Source organism: Homo sapiens, chromosome 4 (assembly GCF_000001405.40).
Source record: "Homo sapiens chromosome 4, GRCh38.p14 Primary Assembly".
Lineage (NCBI taxonomy): Eukaryota > Metazoa > Chordata > Mammalia > Primates > Hominidae > Homo > Homo sapiens.
Genome location: NC_000004.12, coordinates 158,205,399 through 158,222,545, shown reverse-complemented (window position 1 = coordinate 158,222,545; position 17,147 = coordinate 158,205,399). Strand labels below are relative to the sequence as shown.

General features: G+C 37.5%; 1 protein-coding gene across 4 annotated transcripts in view, besides 2 other annotated features; it reads right to left on the bottom strand.

Annotated features, from left to right (window-relative positions):
* TMEM144 (transmembrane protein 144) overlaps positions 1 to 12,060 on the bottom strand; it is a 44,931-nt gene extending 32,871 nt beyond the window's left edge. For 2 of the 4 annotated variants that reach the window (NM_018342.5, XM_047415908.1), the window contains exons 1-6: positions 11,960 to 12,060; positions 10,972 to 11,093; positions 9,770 to 9,938; positions 7,233 to 7,355; positions 5,126 to 5,225; positions 3,156 to 3,236 (exon numbers count right to left, since the gene is read on the bottom strand). In NM_018342.5, coding sequence (NP_060812.2) covers positions 3,156 to 3,236; positions 5,126 to 5,225; positions 7,233 to 7,355; positions 9,770 to 9,878 — 413 coding nt within the window. In that variant the 5' untranslated portion in view covers positions 9,879 to 9,938; positions 10,972 to 11,093; positions 11,960 to 12,060. Of the gene's footprint in view, positions 1 to 3,155; positions 3,237 to 5,125; positions 5,226 to 7,232; positions 7,356 to 9,769; positions 9,939 to 10,325; positions 10,486 to 10,971; positions 11,094 to 11,959 lie in introns of all 4 variants that reach the window. The other 2 variants (XM_005263110.3, XM_017008366.2) reach the window with 2 other exon arrangements.
* Positions 12,118 to 12,672: an enhancer, noted in NCBI's record as "NANOG-H3K27ac-H3K4me1 hESC enhancer chr4:159131026-159131580 (GRCh37/hg19 assembly coordinates)". NCBI's record gives its function as "activates a minimal SCP1, AML or CMV promoter by ChIP-STARR-seq in naive H9 embryonic stem cells {active_cell/tissue: H9 hESC(naive)}" and the evidence as "EXISTENCE:reporter gene assay evidence [ECO:0000049][PMID:30033119]".
* Positions 12,128 to 12,217: an enhancer, noted in NCBI's record as "active region_22083". NCBI's record gives its function as "activates an Ori minimal core promoter by ATAC-STARR-seq in GM12878 lymphoblastoid cells {active_cell/tissue: GM12878}" and the evidence as "EXISTENCE:reporter gene assay evidence [ECO:0000049][PMID:35858748]".

Here is a 17,147-nt window from a genome sequence, read left to right as displayed (position 1 = left end):
GTTTAGGGGAAGAGTCTAACTAGAGAGAAGAAAATCAAGAAAACATCACATGGGATGGAACAATCTCAAATGATATTAAATGATGGCCAAGGAGGCTGAGGAAAAGGCTTTCAAGGCTGAGGGAGATGTCTGGAGTGTGGTGTAATCCTGGGTCAATGAATGCACAATACAGGGAGAAAGGTGAAACGTGTAGAAACACTGGCTGAATAGATGTACTGTAAGGGACAAGCCAGATTAAGGAGACAAGTTTATTCTGAATTCAGTGGGGAACATTCAAAGGTTTTTAAACAGGACAATGACATGCCCTGATGTAGGGCAGATATCAACTATCCATACTGGCAAAAGGGAAGAATGGAACCAGGGAAACTAGATGTGAGATTTTTTACAATCACATGTATACAAGTGGGTAGGTAGGATGGGACGAGGGAAAGCAGAGGAAGAACTTGTGAAACATTCAAAATTTTTTTTACAGGAATAGTCATAGCATATAAAGGGAAAAAAATAAAGATGACAGGTTTTGAATTTGAATGACTGTGGCCTTCTATGGAGAGAGAGAACTCAGGAAGAGGAACCAGTTTGCAGGGAAGGGTCCAGTAAGAAAAGTAATTCTGATTGGGAAATGTTGAAGGCAAAGAGAAAGGAACAAATGGTTTAGTGTTGGCAAAGTGCTGATCAGCATCATTCCCTTCTGTGTGTTATCTCAGATAAGACTGAAAGGAGGTACCTGTGGAGTATGTGTAGAGATGTGTAGTTTGGTCCATAGTTAGAAATAAGGGCTGTGGCTTGAGGAAAGGTGACAGCTAGAAACCATGATTTGGGTTTCCTCACAAGGTAAAATAATAGATGAAGCTGTGGAGTAAACATAACCCTCCAGGAAAGGCATGTTAAATGAGAAGACAAAAGAAGGGAGAGCATGTCCTTAAAGATAATCCAAATCATATTATTATTTGAATTGAAAAGGACATCTGTCTTGTTATAGACCTCTGGCTTCTGGATCTTCAAGAAAGCAAATGTTTAACAGAGTGTTCTGAATATTGTTTCTTGGTGTCAGCTCTGCTCTCACCCTTACATACTCTCTCCTGAACCATGGAGCATGGAAGACTGAAAATTACATTTCCCAAACTTTATTGGCAGCTAGGTTCTGCCAGGGGGAGGCACTTGCATCATTTGAGAAGATGGGAGAAGACATTATGTTTTGGTGGTGCCTCCAGTAGTTTCAGCAGGAGCAGTCGGTCAGGCAGAGGCAATTCAGCAGTATTGTGTGGGCTTCAGGGTTATGGGTGACACAACCTTCCTTCTTTTGCTCAACTGGGTCTTGCAAACAATTTCCTGTGTTAAATCCTCTCCTGTTTAAAATACCTGGAGAGGTTTTGTATACAGACTGATAGACACTTTGTATATCATATAAAGAAAATGTAAGACTAGAAATTAACCAACCTTTAAAAATTAGACTATACAGAGGATAGAAGCAATAATTTTAATTTTAAAAAGAAAAGCAATATCCTAAACGAATGCAACCCTATTTCAAGTGCATGAAACATGGACCATGAAGCTCCAAGTTTATTCAGTGAATACCCTTCAGAACAAACTGATTTAACTGAGTTAAAATAATGAAATGACATATTCCAGAAATTCCTCTTAGCAGAGAAACATAGAAGGGAGCCTAGATGCACTACGGGAAGAGTTCTTGAATTTCCCTGCTACAGACCAAGTTCAAATTGAGCTACAGGGTTCCTCAGGTGCACTGCCTACTGTAACATAAAGTTGGGCAACAAATACCCAACAGGGAAACAGTAATTGAACATAAATGTTATTAATAAAATAATTGTAATGGCAACTAATATGTAGAGCATTAACCATGTAATTAGCACTATATGAAGCACTAAACATATTTTATTTCATTTAACCCTCAAAATACTTTATGAGGTTGGTGCTATTATTATCCCTCTACAAATGAAGAAACCAAAGCTTGGAGAACTGAAGTTATTTGCCCATGGCCACATAGGTGGAAGTGGTAGAACATGAATAATTGATTTGCAATTTTAGAGAATGTACTTTTTCTAAATAAAGAAGAAATATGGAGGAAAACAATGCCTGATAGACTGGGTAAACTGGCCTTCAATTGTCATTAAGTCAAAACTAAGCCATCCTATGTTACAATTTTGGTGTGTAAAGAAATTGTTTTTGAGAGAGCTATTCAGAGCTAGAATTCTGTGTGAATTATACAAAATACATAAAATTGCCTCTAACCAAAAAAAGTCAGGAATCTGCTATTTTAGAATAATTTATGTTATCTTTTTCTCCAATTGGCCTGGGACTACTCTCTAAGGCAACATTTCAATGACAAAGAGATTGTTCCTGAATGTGCCTGGGGAAAAGCCATCATTGCTGAAGGAAGGCAAATATACTGTTCTTTCCCTAAGAATAAAAAAGTACTAAAATCTTTCTAGGCAGTACTATCCATTATGTGAAGAACTGACAGGGAATATAAATGGAATCCAGAGGGGAAAGAAGACTGAATTTAAGGTGACCCAGTTCCTGTTAAGTTTTATGGACTGAACACTGCCATACAGAGATTCAAAGTCATTTTCACCCTTATTCGTAGAGTGCATACAGCTAGACACAGATGCAACCAAACATGGGCATTCAAAAGAGTATGTGTTCTCACAGGTGAAAGAGGAGCTGTCTAGCTAGGTTGAGAAGAGTGAGTGAGGAGACAGGGGAAGTGGAAACTAGGTGAGATAGGAAGTGAGTAGTACATAGAAGAGAGAATCAGTGACTACTCCAGGGGCATCAGGAAGCCAGCAGAATGCTTTTTCTGAATAGCATGTTTTAGTTTGCAAAATATATGATTCTCATTGATAAGCTATGTGTTATGATTTTCTACATATTATAGATGATAAAACTAAGCTTAAGAGCAGTTAAATGATTTTCCAGGCTCTCAGAGTTTTGGAGAGCTAAAGCTGGGGCTGCCCCTGCCCCCAAATCTGGCACTTTTTGTCCTCTAAAACCAGTCATTGTAAATGAAGAATCTGAGGAACAAGCATGTGGATTTTACGAAATGTAGGTTTAAAAAATGTAAACATAGCAGGATCCTTAAAAAAGCACTCTCCATGTTTTGAAGAACAGCAAAATCACTAGAAATGACTGTGTACCTTACTACTGATAGCCCAGCTCCAATGTAATTTAGCAGCGGATTTGATACTTCTTCTGCATCCAATCCAAACCAGCCAAACCTGAAAATCCAGAAAGTCACATCAAATTAAATATTGTTAAGATGTTTCACCATAATGTTTAAGGGCATGGACTAGGGGCCAGATTCCTGGGTTCAAATGCTAGCTCTCTCACTTATTAGCTGTGACTTTGGGAAAGTTAATTATCTTCACTGTGCCTCAATTTCCAATTTTTTTAAATTAAAAAAAAATTTTTTTTTGAGATGGAGGCTTGCTCTGTCATCCAGGCTGGAGTACAGTGGTATGATCTTGGCTCACTGCAACCTCTGCCTCCTGAATTCAACCTATTCTCCTGCCTCAGCCTCCCAAGTAGCTGGGACTACAGGTGCCTGTTACCACGCCTGGCTAATTTTTGTATTTTTAGTAGAGACAGGGTTTCACTGGTCTTGAATTCCTGAAATCAAGCGATCCACCCACCTCGATCTCCCAAAGTGCTGAGATTATAGGCGTTAGCCAACGTGCCCAGCCTCCCATGTTTAAAATGGGATAATAATTATACCTACCTTATAAGTTTGTTACAAAGATTAAATGAGTTAGTATACATAAAAGTACTTGTGAGTGTCTCTTTCCTAAGACTAAAAAAGAAGTAGGAAAAAGTAGTTCACCTGACTCATGGAAGGTTAATTAATTGGTTACAATATTGTATAATATTTGGAGTAGACTTTTAAAAAATTTCTAGGTTAAATATCCCTACTCTGTCATCACCACAATTTTTTTTTCCTGCCTGACATTGCCGTGATCATTACCAAGAATCACTGAGAACCATCCAGGGGCAAGAGGAAAGGAGAAAAGAAGGAAAAGAAAAAGAAAATAGCAGGAGGTGGGGAATGGGGGAAGGATGGGAGAGAATGTATTGGAAGTTAGTAAGTTGGTTTGTTTTGTTGTTTTGAGGTGGTTATAATGCTTTGAGTGGAAAGGGAGTCCAAAAGGTAAAGTGAGAATAACACCCCACATTCCACTCATTTTCCCAAAATTGATTTGAATGTTAATCTTAATGCTGACCAAGGGCACCAGTCTGATAGAACTTTGTGTAATGATGGGACTGTTCTCTATCTTCACTGCACAAAAGAGTAGCCTCTCCCCATATTAGCTACTGAGCACATCAAATGTGGCTAGTGCAACCAAAAAACTGGAGGTTTAATTTTATCAACTTTTAATTAATTTAAATTTAAATATAAATGGCCTCCTGTGGCTTCTGGCTACACTATTGGACAACACAACGCTAGAGCTGGGACTGGCAAACTTTTTCTCGAAGGCGGTTGTAGATAATTTAGGCTTTGTGGGTCAGTTATTCCCTTGCTGCTCAACTCTGCCACTGTAACATAAAAATAGCCATAGACAATCCTTAAATGGATGGGTTTGGCTGTGTTCTGATAAAACGTTATTTATAGAAATGGCTGGGAAACCAGACCGTGCTTTGCCAACCCTGCTCTAGAGGAAAGAATATGTGCTCTGGAACTAGAAGACCTGGGTTTGAATCCTAGCTTCTTAGTTCTGTGACCTACAGTAAGTTACTTAATCTCTTTTTATCTACTCTCTTATAAGATAGTGCTTACCTCACGTATTTGTGAAAGTGAGATGAGAATGATGCATAGAACATGTCCAGCAAATTGTCACACAATAGAAAGGGACAATAAAAATCAGTTTCCTTTTTCTCTCTCTACCTCTGTTTCCCAGATTTAATGCTACACTATATCTTGATCAAATATCTAGATCACTTATTAAGAATTTAGGGCAAATAGCAATAGAAGGTGGCATATATGATGTGTATGTTTTACCAGCTATAAACTCTGTGAGAATAAGAATCATATGTTATTCCTCTCGGTAATCACTTGCTTTACATAGAATATGGATGCAGGAAATCTTAGTTGAACTAGTTTGACTTGAATTACCTTGAGCTTGCCCAGCCAGTTAAGGCATTAAATGATCCCCAGATTAAGATTCCAAGGCCTAAACCAATGGTTTTGATAATTGGGACAACAGCAATGTTCCCTGTAGATGTAATATACAGAAGAAACATGTTATTTCCATATAGAAAATACATTTATAAATAGAATTAGTTTTTATTCTAACTTCAACTGAAGTGCATGTGATTTGGACAAATTTAGTAAAGCACAGTTCCTTATTTTTTCAGTAAAATAACCACATTTTTGGCATTAAATTTATGAGTATGTGTGCTAAAAGAACTAGGCTTAGGAAAAAAGTCTACAAAGAAAAGTGTTGAATTCCTAATTGTACAGAGGTTTCTCTCCCTTAGCATAGCTCTCTATTCTGTGATTCTTCATGGAAGCTGTCAGTGATAAATTATCAGTGACCATCCTCTTAGACTTGAATTAGGGCCAAATACTGGCAGAAGTACTTGGCCATAAAACAGGCCCAGAATTTGCTCTTCCATGATTGCTGATTTGTCTTCTGGATTTCTACATTCATTCTCTTATGTTTTGAGGGTCACTGAGGGCCAAATACATAATTTTTTTTTTTTTGTCTCAAGTCCTACAGTCTCTTCTTAAAAGGTTACCTCTTTAGGATTCCATGATGTCTTCATCTCTTGAGTCTCCTCCTGTTTTTCTCTTTAGCTCTTTCTCTGGCTACTATTTTTCATCATTCCTTCTGGAATAAGGTACCCCCTAAAGATTTTCCCTTGAACATATTTGTCCCCTTGCTTTATTGTCCTTTGGGTACTTGACCTAATTTCATGATTTCAGCTACCAGCTAAAGGTGCGTGTTCCCAGTGCTACAGTTCTAACCTGGACCTACTTTAGGGTTTTAATATTATTCTCCAAACCATCAAGAAGAAATCTCCAACCAGATGTTCTCTATGGTAGAAACATCGGGATGTTCATGCTCAGAAAGTGCCAAGCTGAACCCATCATTTTCTCTTTCAAACATGTTCTTTTTCCTATTTCCACATATGTGTCAATACCACCACCCTCCTAATCACCTATAATCAAATCTCTACATTATCATTGGCTCCTCCCATTCTGCTATGTCCTATATGCTATCAGTTGCTCCAACCTATAGCATCCACATCTGCAACATATCTCAAATTGGACTCTTTCCCCACTGACACCCAGTGGAACCTGCTGGGTGAACAGAAATGCTCTGGTGGCTATAAAGAGCTGCAGGATGGATGGATGCTTAGTCTGTTCCTCTCCCCCTGTTAGATATGACAAGCAATCATACTGAGGTATAAGTGAGGTATAATAATGTAAATCCTGGTGGGAATTTAAAAGCGAATTCTTTTATCTTCTAACTTATGAACTTCACTAAATCATTTAACTCCTCAGAGACTCAAATTAAGTGGGTAATAAATAAATTTTCATTTTAATTTTTTTAATAAAGTTTTAACATTTTAACATTTATTTGCTTTTAATGCAAATTATTTCTAAAGATCACTGATACTTGGAATTCTCTTTGTTGAAGAAAAAAAGACCTCCTGGGGTGTATTTATATTAATTGAAGGGAAACATTTCTTGATTGGCCAAGCCAAGGTATGAATTCTAATTATATAATTTCAGGTACTGATAAGGCAACAGGAAGATTTTTGTTTGCTTTGCTTTTCTGTTAACCAGCCCTTTTGAAATGATAGTATCTTCACATTGGCCTAATTAGGTTAAGTCCTAAAAATTTTATTAGTAGAGATTACTATTTAATAAATATTTTCTGATAAACATGCTAGAAAAAAGGGCCAGAACACATTAAAATAATATATGAGCTATGCTTGAATAGATGGAGAATAATTAAAATGTTTTTACTATAATAATTTTCTACCAGGAACTTAAAAATAAATCATTAAGAGGAATAAATCAGGTGGAACAAATCAGGTAAGGCACCAAAAATATTCATTGAGCATGTGAAGGCAAGAAACTAGTTAATTTCTAGTATCTATGACTAAGGGTTATTCAGAATCACTGTTTGCGCTATTTCCTCCTATTGTGAACGAGAATTATTTTTATCATTATGTTACATAATAAAAGTATAAGTTATATCAGACATTACCTGTTGCCCAAATGCAGCCCCCAAGCATTGCAAAAGGCCAAAACTTTGGACAATGTAATATCAGATTGACAACCAAGGCAACCAACCATATGGCAGCACAAAGAACCCACTGGAGAAACATTCCTAGAAATAAACAAACTCAGTGTTAGTGGTTCAAATTGAATTGAGTAAATTTGTGCTCAGGAATATCTATGAGGTGATATTACAGGAATGGCCACAATTTATTAAATGCCATATGCCATGGACTTTGCACATTTCATTCTTATGACTACTCTGCAACATAATTAACCCTAGCTCAAAGATAGAGAAAATGAATCTTCAATTAAGCAACCTGTCCAAACAGCTAGTAGTTTGTTGAGCTGGAATTTAAACCCAGGTTGACTCCAAGGCTTAGACACGGTGTGCTCTGGCTTAACATTCTTTTTTTCCTCCTATTAGACAAATCAAGAATTTTCTGCCCAAGAGTGATGGCAAGACCGAGTGTATATTCTCATTCAGATGCCACACTGAGTACTCTTGCTTCCCAAAATATGGCAGTAAGTGCTTCGGAATAGCACAACAGTAAACCTTCAGGGACCATTTATGCCACCTCTGGGATAAAAATAAAGCCATTTATGGTCACACATAGGCCTCATACAGTTAGAGTTCAATGCCTATGATGAGTCGGGCATTATAAACCTGAGAATTAGCTATCTAGGTCAAGGTTACTCTGCTTTCTATACTTTGAGTTGCCATTTTCCAGTTATCTGAAGATAACCTGGTGATGAGGTGTATCTGTACCTTTTTGAGGCTTCTGCATCATTAAGGATTTAGAGATTAAAAGGATGAGGAAATAGTTGACATTGAAAGAAATACTGAGGCAGTTAAAACTCAATGTATTACTTCTGGCACTAACTTTGGAAGATTGTTGCCCCTCTTGGATTCAATCTCATGATGGAGGAGAGAGAAAAGATGGCTGCTAATCTCCATGACAAAAGAGTAGAATCAGCCAGGCGTGGTGGCTTAGGCCTGTAATCCTAGCACTTTGGGAGGCCAAAGTAGGTGGACTGCCTGAGCTCAGGAGTTCGAGACCAGCCCTTGAGATTCCGTCTCTACCATAAATATAAGAAATTAGCCGGGTGTGGTAGTGTGTGCCTGTAGTTCCAGCTACTTGGCAGGCTGAGACATGAGAATCACTTGAACCCTAAAGGTGGAGGTTGCTGTGAGCCAAGATTATGATACTTCACTCCATCCTCGGTGAAAGAGTGAGACTCTATCTCCCCAAAAAAATGAAAAATAAAAAATAAAAAGAGTAGAATCACAGAGATGAAAAGAAACTTCATTTTATAAGTTGTTCACTTTACAAATGAGAAACTGAAAACAGCAGAGCTGGTAATATTTGCCCAGGATCACAAAGCTAATTGTGGAAGACTAAAAAAGCTAGATCCTCTACCCATTTTTTTGTTCTTCGGGTAGTTCCCATTCTTGTCCTAACTCCAGAGGAAAAGAGAAGAAAGGCCCTGGAGGAAAATAGGAGGTAATCCTATTTTCTAAGTGCACGAAGACAAAGAATTGGGGAAATAACACAACTGCTGTCAGGTGATAAATACTACCAAGGAAGTAATTCCCAACATGTGTTCACCATAAATCTCAATTCCTTCTCCTGGCTTTAATATGGAAGTCAGGCAAATACAAATAACTCTTGCTTCTCCTTCCCCAAAATTCACATTAGTCAGTTCTGCTATAATGTAACATGTGCATTCCTTGAAATCACTGCACTATGCAAAATCATGCAGTAAAAACTACAGAGCATAATGGGAAAATGGGGCTAGGAGAACAACACTCAACCTAATTAAAATAGTAGTACAGTTTTAACTGGTTAACTGGTTAATTACATGATGCTGTAATAAATAGGGCATTTTAATTGAAAAACACCAGAAGTTTGCTCCTGGAAGTGAGCATCCAAAGGGTTGCAGCTTACGAGTTACTGTGAAGGTATTGGGTGAGGAGTTGGGACAGGAGATGTGGTTGGGTGGAATACATCATAACCACATGTGATGAACTAAGGGAGCTGGTCGATATTTGAAGATTGTACGTGTGTCTGCGTGCATTATGTGTATTATCACACATCTTTATTCATCTAGGTGCAGTCTTCTGTGCCTATCTAGAGGTTTCTCAGGGACAAAATTGCACATAAGCAAGCCAAAAATCTGTTATGCTTACATTGTTCTCTAATATATCAATCATGTTGAAGATTCATGTTTTCAAAACAGGTGTTATAGTAGAACTGACTATAAATTTCTTCCATTCATATAATGGCCCAAGAGATTTCCTGACTGTACCCTCCCTAACTTTACCATGAAACAACCTTAATGGTTCTCCTATTCTGACTTTCAGACAAACTGGTATGAGCACTGTCAAATGACTAATTTTAAGCTCTATTCACTAGGTATCAAGATCAACATGATTTATTTTTGTAGCTATACTTTTAAAAGACCAAAAAAGGAACTTCATTTTTAAAAATAATATAACGTTAACAATCAAGGAAAAATAATTACCATCACCAGTATCAAATTTTTTAAGTGGCACAAAATTTGAGCCAAACAAAAGGATAGCTACAAAACAGGAGATGTAACCAAAGGTTAGGTCTGCTCCATTGTTGCTCATGATTCCAGTCTTAATGAGTTAGCTGGTTCACTTTAGACTTGATGTACTTTTCAGGAGCTTCTGAAATAAAAGAAAAAATGAAACAATTGAGACGTGAATCTGTGACCAAATTGTGATTAACATATTATATTTATTGAATTTTTCAAAAGCACGCTAAGACTCCTTTTTGCAGATAGGATATTACACAACTATATATAATGTTTGTACTTCATGTTAATTTATTCTATCACCAAATATTTTTGATCACTAGCCTACAATTTAAAAAGAACAAGCCCTGAAGACAAATTTTTAGTACATTACAAAAAAAATTCTCCTGTGTAGGTTCCATCACTGCAGAAAGTTTTAGCGGATAACGCTGCTAAGCTTATTTAACAGCTTTAGCTTCTCTATGAAGAAAGGACTAAAACCACAAATAACCAAGAATTAGACATTTTTTCATAAAGTTACCATTTGGAAAAGGCCACTGAATACAATTCAGATTTTTAGTTTCCCGAGATACATGAGAAAAAAGCACCACCAAAGTAATTTTATCACAGGAGGTACAGCGTCTTTCCACAATGCCATCTTGGATTCATATTTTGCACACTGGCCCTTTGGAATAAGCCCTCTGGAATAGAAGCAGAATAATCCAGTGGTTTCTTTTTTCCTGCAAATTTAATGTTATAGTAATAACTTCTTGTATATATGTATTGAATAAAGTACACCTGAAATCACCTTTCCTTGTTATTTTATTTCACAATGACAAATATTTAAAGGTCCATGTATTGTTCCTTATGTGTTCTTGCAGAGAATATTAAATATACAACAACCTACAAAATATGTTATTTACCATTATTAAAGATAGTTTAACTGAAAACAAGGATCACTTCAAAACTGGTCAATAAACTTTAGTAAAGAAAATGTGTATTTGAAATTGTGTGGACTTTCTTAAAACAAAAACACATTGCTATTAAGAAAACATCCTCTATAGGGATGTGGTTGAGGAAGACACACTGAGGCACATTTCAACATTGACACATTAACACTATTCAATAAAAATAATTATTATTCTACTGTTAGGCTCAAAGAGAGGTTCAGCCCTGCAGTGACTTACATGGGTTATGGCTCAAGGGTCAGCTGAGGCAGGTGCTTGCTGCTAAGATAACAGAGGTGCCAAGATAACAGAGGTGCAACAGGTCAGAGATGCAGGAAGTGTCTTGAAAAGCTAACCTATGACTAAAAAGACACATGACTGGGTGATAGCTAACACATCATTTTCTCCCCATTTTAATTCACAACAAGCAAAGCAAAACAAAACCTTTATGTGTACATTGATAGAAGAGAATGTCTAACCTTCAAGAGTGGCAAATTATTTTATTGAGAAGGCTCCACAAAGGCCCTACACCTCTGAAACGGAGAGACTAATTTGACGTGCTAATTAGAGTGCATGAGGTGCATTTCGACTACTGAATAAACATCAATCAGTTATTACCTATAGATAAATGAAGTTTATTGCATGCAGCTCTTGTACATTTCAGAGCATGTGATCTTATTTCATTGTGAATTGGCAATAACTTACTGTCTTTAAAAAGGCTCTACCGCTCTCTAAAATAATGAAATTTTTGTGGAAAAGAAAAGCAGTATCACTCCATCCAGCACATTTTTCCCAATTCTTCCTGCACAAAACCTAAAAAGTCTCAAACATTATTTTAATGTTTTCTTTTCAGCGTTCGCTGATATTTTGTCAAACTATATTAATTCATTTTTATTTTATTACTTTTGTTTCATTTATTAGTAAATACTTCTCCTTTACATTTTTCCTAGTAATTTAAACTTCTACGCAGACTTTGAAAAAATTCGTATTTGGTATGTTCTGATCAATACTGCTTGCTCCACTCCAACTAAAATTTCATTTTTAGTTTCATGTTGATTTTCCCAAATCTCCAGGCAAGTACCGCCTGTCTTTGGGCTAAAATTAACAGTGCTTGAATGTATTTATTCCGAGCCTTGATTTTTCTTTTTAACCATGAGCACGTTTCTGAAAAATCATGAGACGCTCCCCTGCAAAGCGACTTGGCTTTCCTTTGAGTGGCTGTACTCACTGCGTTCCGGGCTGGCGGCTGAAGCTCCTTCCTACTCAGCGCCGGCGCGATCCGCCCACTACGTGCCAGTGTGGAGCCGGAGCCTGACTCATTCCCTCTACGTGCTGGGGGCGGCCTGGCCAGCCTTTACTTTCTGCGGGGACAATTTCCCATACACCGGCCGGGAGGAGAGGGGAGGGCTCTAGCACCCGTGACCCAGACTCCCGTTCCCAGGGTGCTCGCGAAGAGCGCCAATCCAGCCTTGACTTCCTGCTGGGACGTTTACCTCCACTTAAGGAGGGTGGAGAAAGGAGGGCTTTAGCACCGGTGACCTAGAGGCCTTCATAGGACAGCAGGTTGGGGAACGCCTTCCTTCAGTTGCTGTGCTGGACTGAATTGTCAGGTGGCTCAAAAGGAGTCGTCAAGCCCTGGGTCGGTCAACCAGGAAACTAGAAGAGTTTTGTGTATTTCAAGAGGTGATTATTCAGGAAACTCTCAGCATGTCACCCTCTCTAAGTGTCACAGAGGGAGGTATTATTTGTGCAGTTTATGGATAAAACAAAAGTCTGAGGAATTTCACACCATTGTAAAAGATTATCTCAAGTGAATTTTTCCACTTGGTATTAAGAAATTCATCTGCACCACTGACGTCATTAACATTTCTTGTGACATTACAAGATTTCACTTGTAATCACTAATTCTTTGTAGATGCACCTAAGCCATTTATCTGTACAGGCCATTTATCTGTATTTTTTTTTTTTAAGACGGAGTCTCGCTCTCGTCCAAGCTGGAGTGCAGTGGTGCAATCTCGGCTCCCTGCAACCTCCGCCTCCTGGGTTCAAGCGATTCTCCTGCCTCAGCCTCCTGAGTAGCTGGGACTACAGGCACCCACCACCACACCTGGCTAATTTTTTTGTATTTTTAGTAGAGACGGGGTTTCACCGTGTTAGCCAGGATGGTCTCGATCTCCTGACCTCAGGTGATCCGCCCGCCTCGCCCTCCCAAAGTGAGGGAGTCCTCTCAAAAAAAAAACAAAACAAAAAAAACATCTCTTCATGTGGGTTCGCATACACCAAAGGATGCAAACTTTAAGTTGGAAAGGGGAAGTGTAGGTTCTGTGCTAGTCTGAGTTCAAAGAAGCCTTCTCTGAGGAAGTGCTATTTAACCCGAGACCATCCAGTGGTTGGTAATGGGTGTAGCATTCACAGGAAGGAGAAAACACAAGGACTGTTAAAATATGACATTTCCTAGAAGGAAGTTCTGCCTTAAACATTAATCACATCCATAGACTATCATGTCAGATGAGCAGATGGGAAGGCAAAATAACATTTCATTTAAAGAATTAAAGCAGCAAAGCTTTTTCACTTAAGGAAGAGGATTAATTTAGCAGTTCAGAAAGATTTTGAAGAAATCAGTTCCCCTTTCCACACATGCACACCTAAGACACACACACATACACAAACTTGCTTCCAAAAATATAGGGCCTAAATCCAACCTAGAATTGTTTCACTTCATGGTCACAAGATCATGTGGTTTATTCTTGCTTCACTCACATGGAGAAACTGAAGCTTGTGTCAGCATTTGCTGAGAATTTCTAAAGTCTAAAAGTGAGTTGGGGGCTGAATTAGGCCTGAGAAGATTCATTAGGGATATGCTAGGCCATTGCCTTTTACATTATGCCACAGAGCAAATCCAAACATGCATGACTCTATTCTTAAACTAAAATTTTTCTTTCAAATTGTTTCGTATACATGAATGCCTAAACAGAATGGTCTGTATTGGGAGAGTCCTGGCAGACACTAGAAGATCCAGGTTCTGACTTTAGCTTCGTCTGTTAGCAATATTTCTCATGGAAACTCATTTAATCTCTTTAAACCTTAGTTTTCTTATATGTAAAATGATAATAATAAGACCTGTGCACCTCCCCCTTTTATGTGGTCAAAAGAGATATATATATATATATATATATATATATATATATATATATATATATATATATAACATTATTACTAGGACTTCTGGTTTCTGCTCTGACATTTGAAAGGTGTGAAAGTCTCCACTTCCATCATCACAACAAGAAAAAAATGAGCAAATCAAAAATCAACTACTCTTTTTAGATCTGCAGAGAATTGATGTCATAGGACATGCCACCTCTTTGCAAACTGAAGAAATAGGTGAATACGGAGAATTACAGCTTATCAGGACAGCAAAAGCCACTGGAGCCAGTAAAGGATAGGGGGGCATTTATACAGTATTTGGCCTATTGCTGAAGGCTGAGTGTGGACTAACTTGAGAGTTGAAAACTCAGAGACAGTGGGAGTCATTCATATGGGAGCATCCACACATTAATGAGTTTTACTTTCAGAAGACAGGACAAAAGTTTCCTCTTTTTTCTGGCATGTGGGAGGAAAACAATAACTATTTGAAATATACTCAGAAACAAAAGCCTGTCCTCAAGGTAAACTTTACCCCAGAGCTTTATCTGAATTAGAGAAAAGGCAACTAGACAGTTTGAACACCTTCTACACTTTCTTTCTCACATAAGGAGAAAAACAAAAGAAGAAACCCTTATGAAGTTCACAGCTCAGGGATTCTGGACAACTAGAAAACAGAGTTTTAGATGTTGGCAAAGATACAGAGAAAAGGGAATGCGTATATACTGTTAATGACAATGTAAACTAGTAAAACCCCTACGGAAAACAGTATGGGGATTTCTCAAATAACTGAAAATAGAAGTACCATTTGGCCCAGCAATCCCACTATTGGGTATCTACTTGAAGGAAAAGAAATTGTTATAATCAATGACACTGGCACTCATATATTTATTGGGGTACTATTCACAATTAGGAATCATCCTAAGTGTCCATCAGTAGTTGATTGGATAAAGAAGATGTGGTATATATAAACTATGGAATATTACGCAGCCATAAAAAGGAGTGAAATCATGTCCTTTGCAGCAACATGAATGGAGCTAGAGGCCATTATCCTAAGTGAAATAACTCAGACAGAAAATCAAGTACTGCATGTTCTCACTTATAAGTGGGAGCTAAACAATGGGTACACATGGACATAAAGGTAAAATAATAGATGCTAGGGACTCCAAAACAGGGAAACGTGGGAGAGGAGAGCAGATTGAAAATTATCTATTGGCTGTAATGTTTACTATTTGGGTGATGGGTTTACTAGAAGCCCAAACCTCACCATTACAGAATCTATCCATGTAGGAAACCTGCACATGTGCCTCCTGAATCTAAAATTGTTTAAAAAGAAATAAGAATTTAAAAATAGAGATTTTATCATAACATTATAGAATGTATCAACTCTCCAATATCTTACGACCACATAAATAGTGTTTTGGTATAATAACTGTGGATCACAACTAGAGAGAGTTGCAAGACACAGACTCTGCTTAAAAATGAGTCTCTAGGAAAACCCAAAGACAACAAATAGGGGAGACAAAAAGAAAGATATTAGAGAAAATAGAAGCCTCTGATACTTACAGCTACAACAACCATTAAGCACAGTCTAACTTCTGGCCCAATACACATAAAAACTAAAGGTCTACTTATCTTGTTTTCTATTATCTGATACATCATGCCTCACTTTCAATGAACAATTATAAGGCATGCTAAAAGGCAAGAAAAAACACAGCTCTGAAATGTCAAAGCAAGCCTCAGAACCAGATTCAGATATGGCAGGGATTTGGGAATTATGAGACTGGAAATTTAAAATATGCTATGACTAATATGCTAAGAGATCAACTGGGAAAAGTGCAAGAACGAATAAACAGAAAGATGAAAACTCAAAGAATCAAAAGGAAATGTTAGAGAACAAAAAATACTACAATAGAAAAGAGAATCACTTTTGATAGCTGCAAAAGAATCAGTGAGCTTGAAGGTATGTCAGTTGAAACTTCCCAAACTTAAATGGAAACAGAAAACAGAATAGGAAAAAGAAACACAATTTCCAAGAACTGTATGAAAATTACAAAAGGCATAAAATACAGGTAATAGCAATACCAGAAGGAAAAGAAAGAAAGCAGCAGAAGATACATAAATAATAGTTATCTAGGTATCTAATAATGGTGGACAACTTTCTAAAATTAATAACAGACATCAAACCACAGATCCAGGAAGATCAGATAACACCAAGCAAGATAAATTTTAAAAAAACTACATGTAGGCATATTGTATACAAATTGTGGAAAATAAAGAGAAAATATTGAAAGGAGTCAGAGGAAAAACTATCACCTTACTTATAAGGAACAAGGATGAGAATTAATCAGACTTCTCAGACACCATGCAAGGAAAAAGAGAGTAGAGTGAAATATTTAGAGTGTTGAAAGAAAAATCCACCAACCTATAATTTGTTTCTTATTCTTAATTGATCGCATAGATAACTTCAAAATAATAATATCAGTAATATATTGGGTGATATTAGTTTATGAATAAATGAAATAAATGACAGCAATGCTTTAAGGAACAGGAGAGAGGCACTGGGAATAATCTTTTATACAGTACCTGCACTACCTGTGAAATGGTATAGTGTTATTGAAAAGTGGACTTAGTTGTAAATGTGTACTGCAAACTCTAGGACAATTTCTAAAAACATATTTTTAAGTATAATTGATATGCTAAGAGAGGAGAGAAAATAGAATCATATAAAATGCTCAATTAAAACTAGAAAAGGGAGCAAAAGAGGTATATTAGTCTATTTGCAGACTACTATAAAGATACTACCTGAGGCTGGGTAATTTATAAAGGAAAGAGGTTTGACTCACAGTTCTGCATGGCTGGGGAGGCCTCAGGAAGCTTAGAATCATGGCAGAAGGCGAAGGAGAAGCAAAGGCATGTTGTACATGGCAGCAGGTGAGAGGAAGCAAAGCGGGAAGAGCCCCTTATAAAACCATGGGATCTTGTGAGAACTCACTCACTATCACGAGAACAGCATGGGGAAAACCACCCACATGACCCAATCACCTCCCACCAAGTCCCTCTCTCAACAGGTGGGGATTATGGGGATTACAATTCCACGTGAGATTTGGGTAGGGGCACAGAGCCAAACCATATGAAGAGGGGAGGACAAAAAAGGGAAATAATTACAAGGGCAACAAACAGAAAACAATTAATATATGGGAAATATTAATCCAACTCTATCAAGTATCACTAAATATAAATGGTCTACCAATTAAAAGACAACGACTGATTGA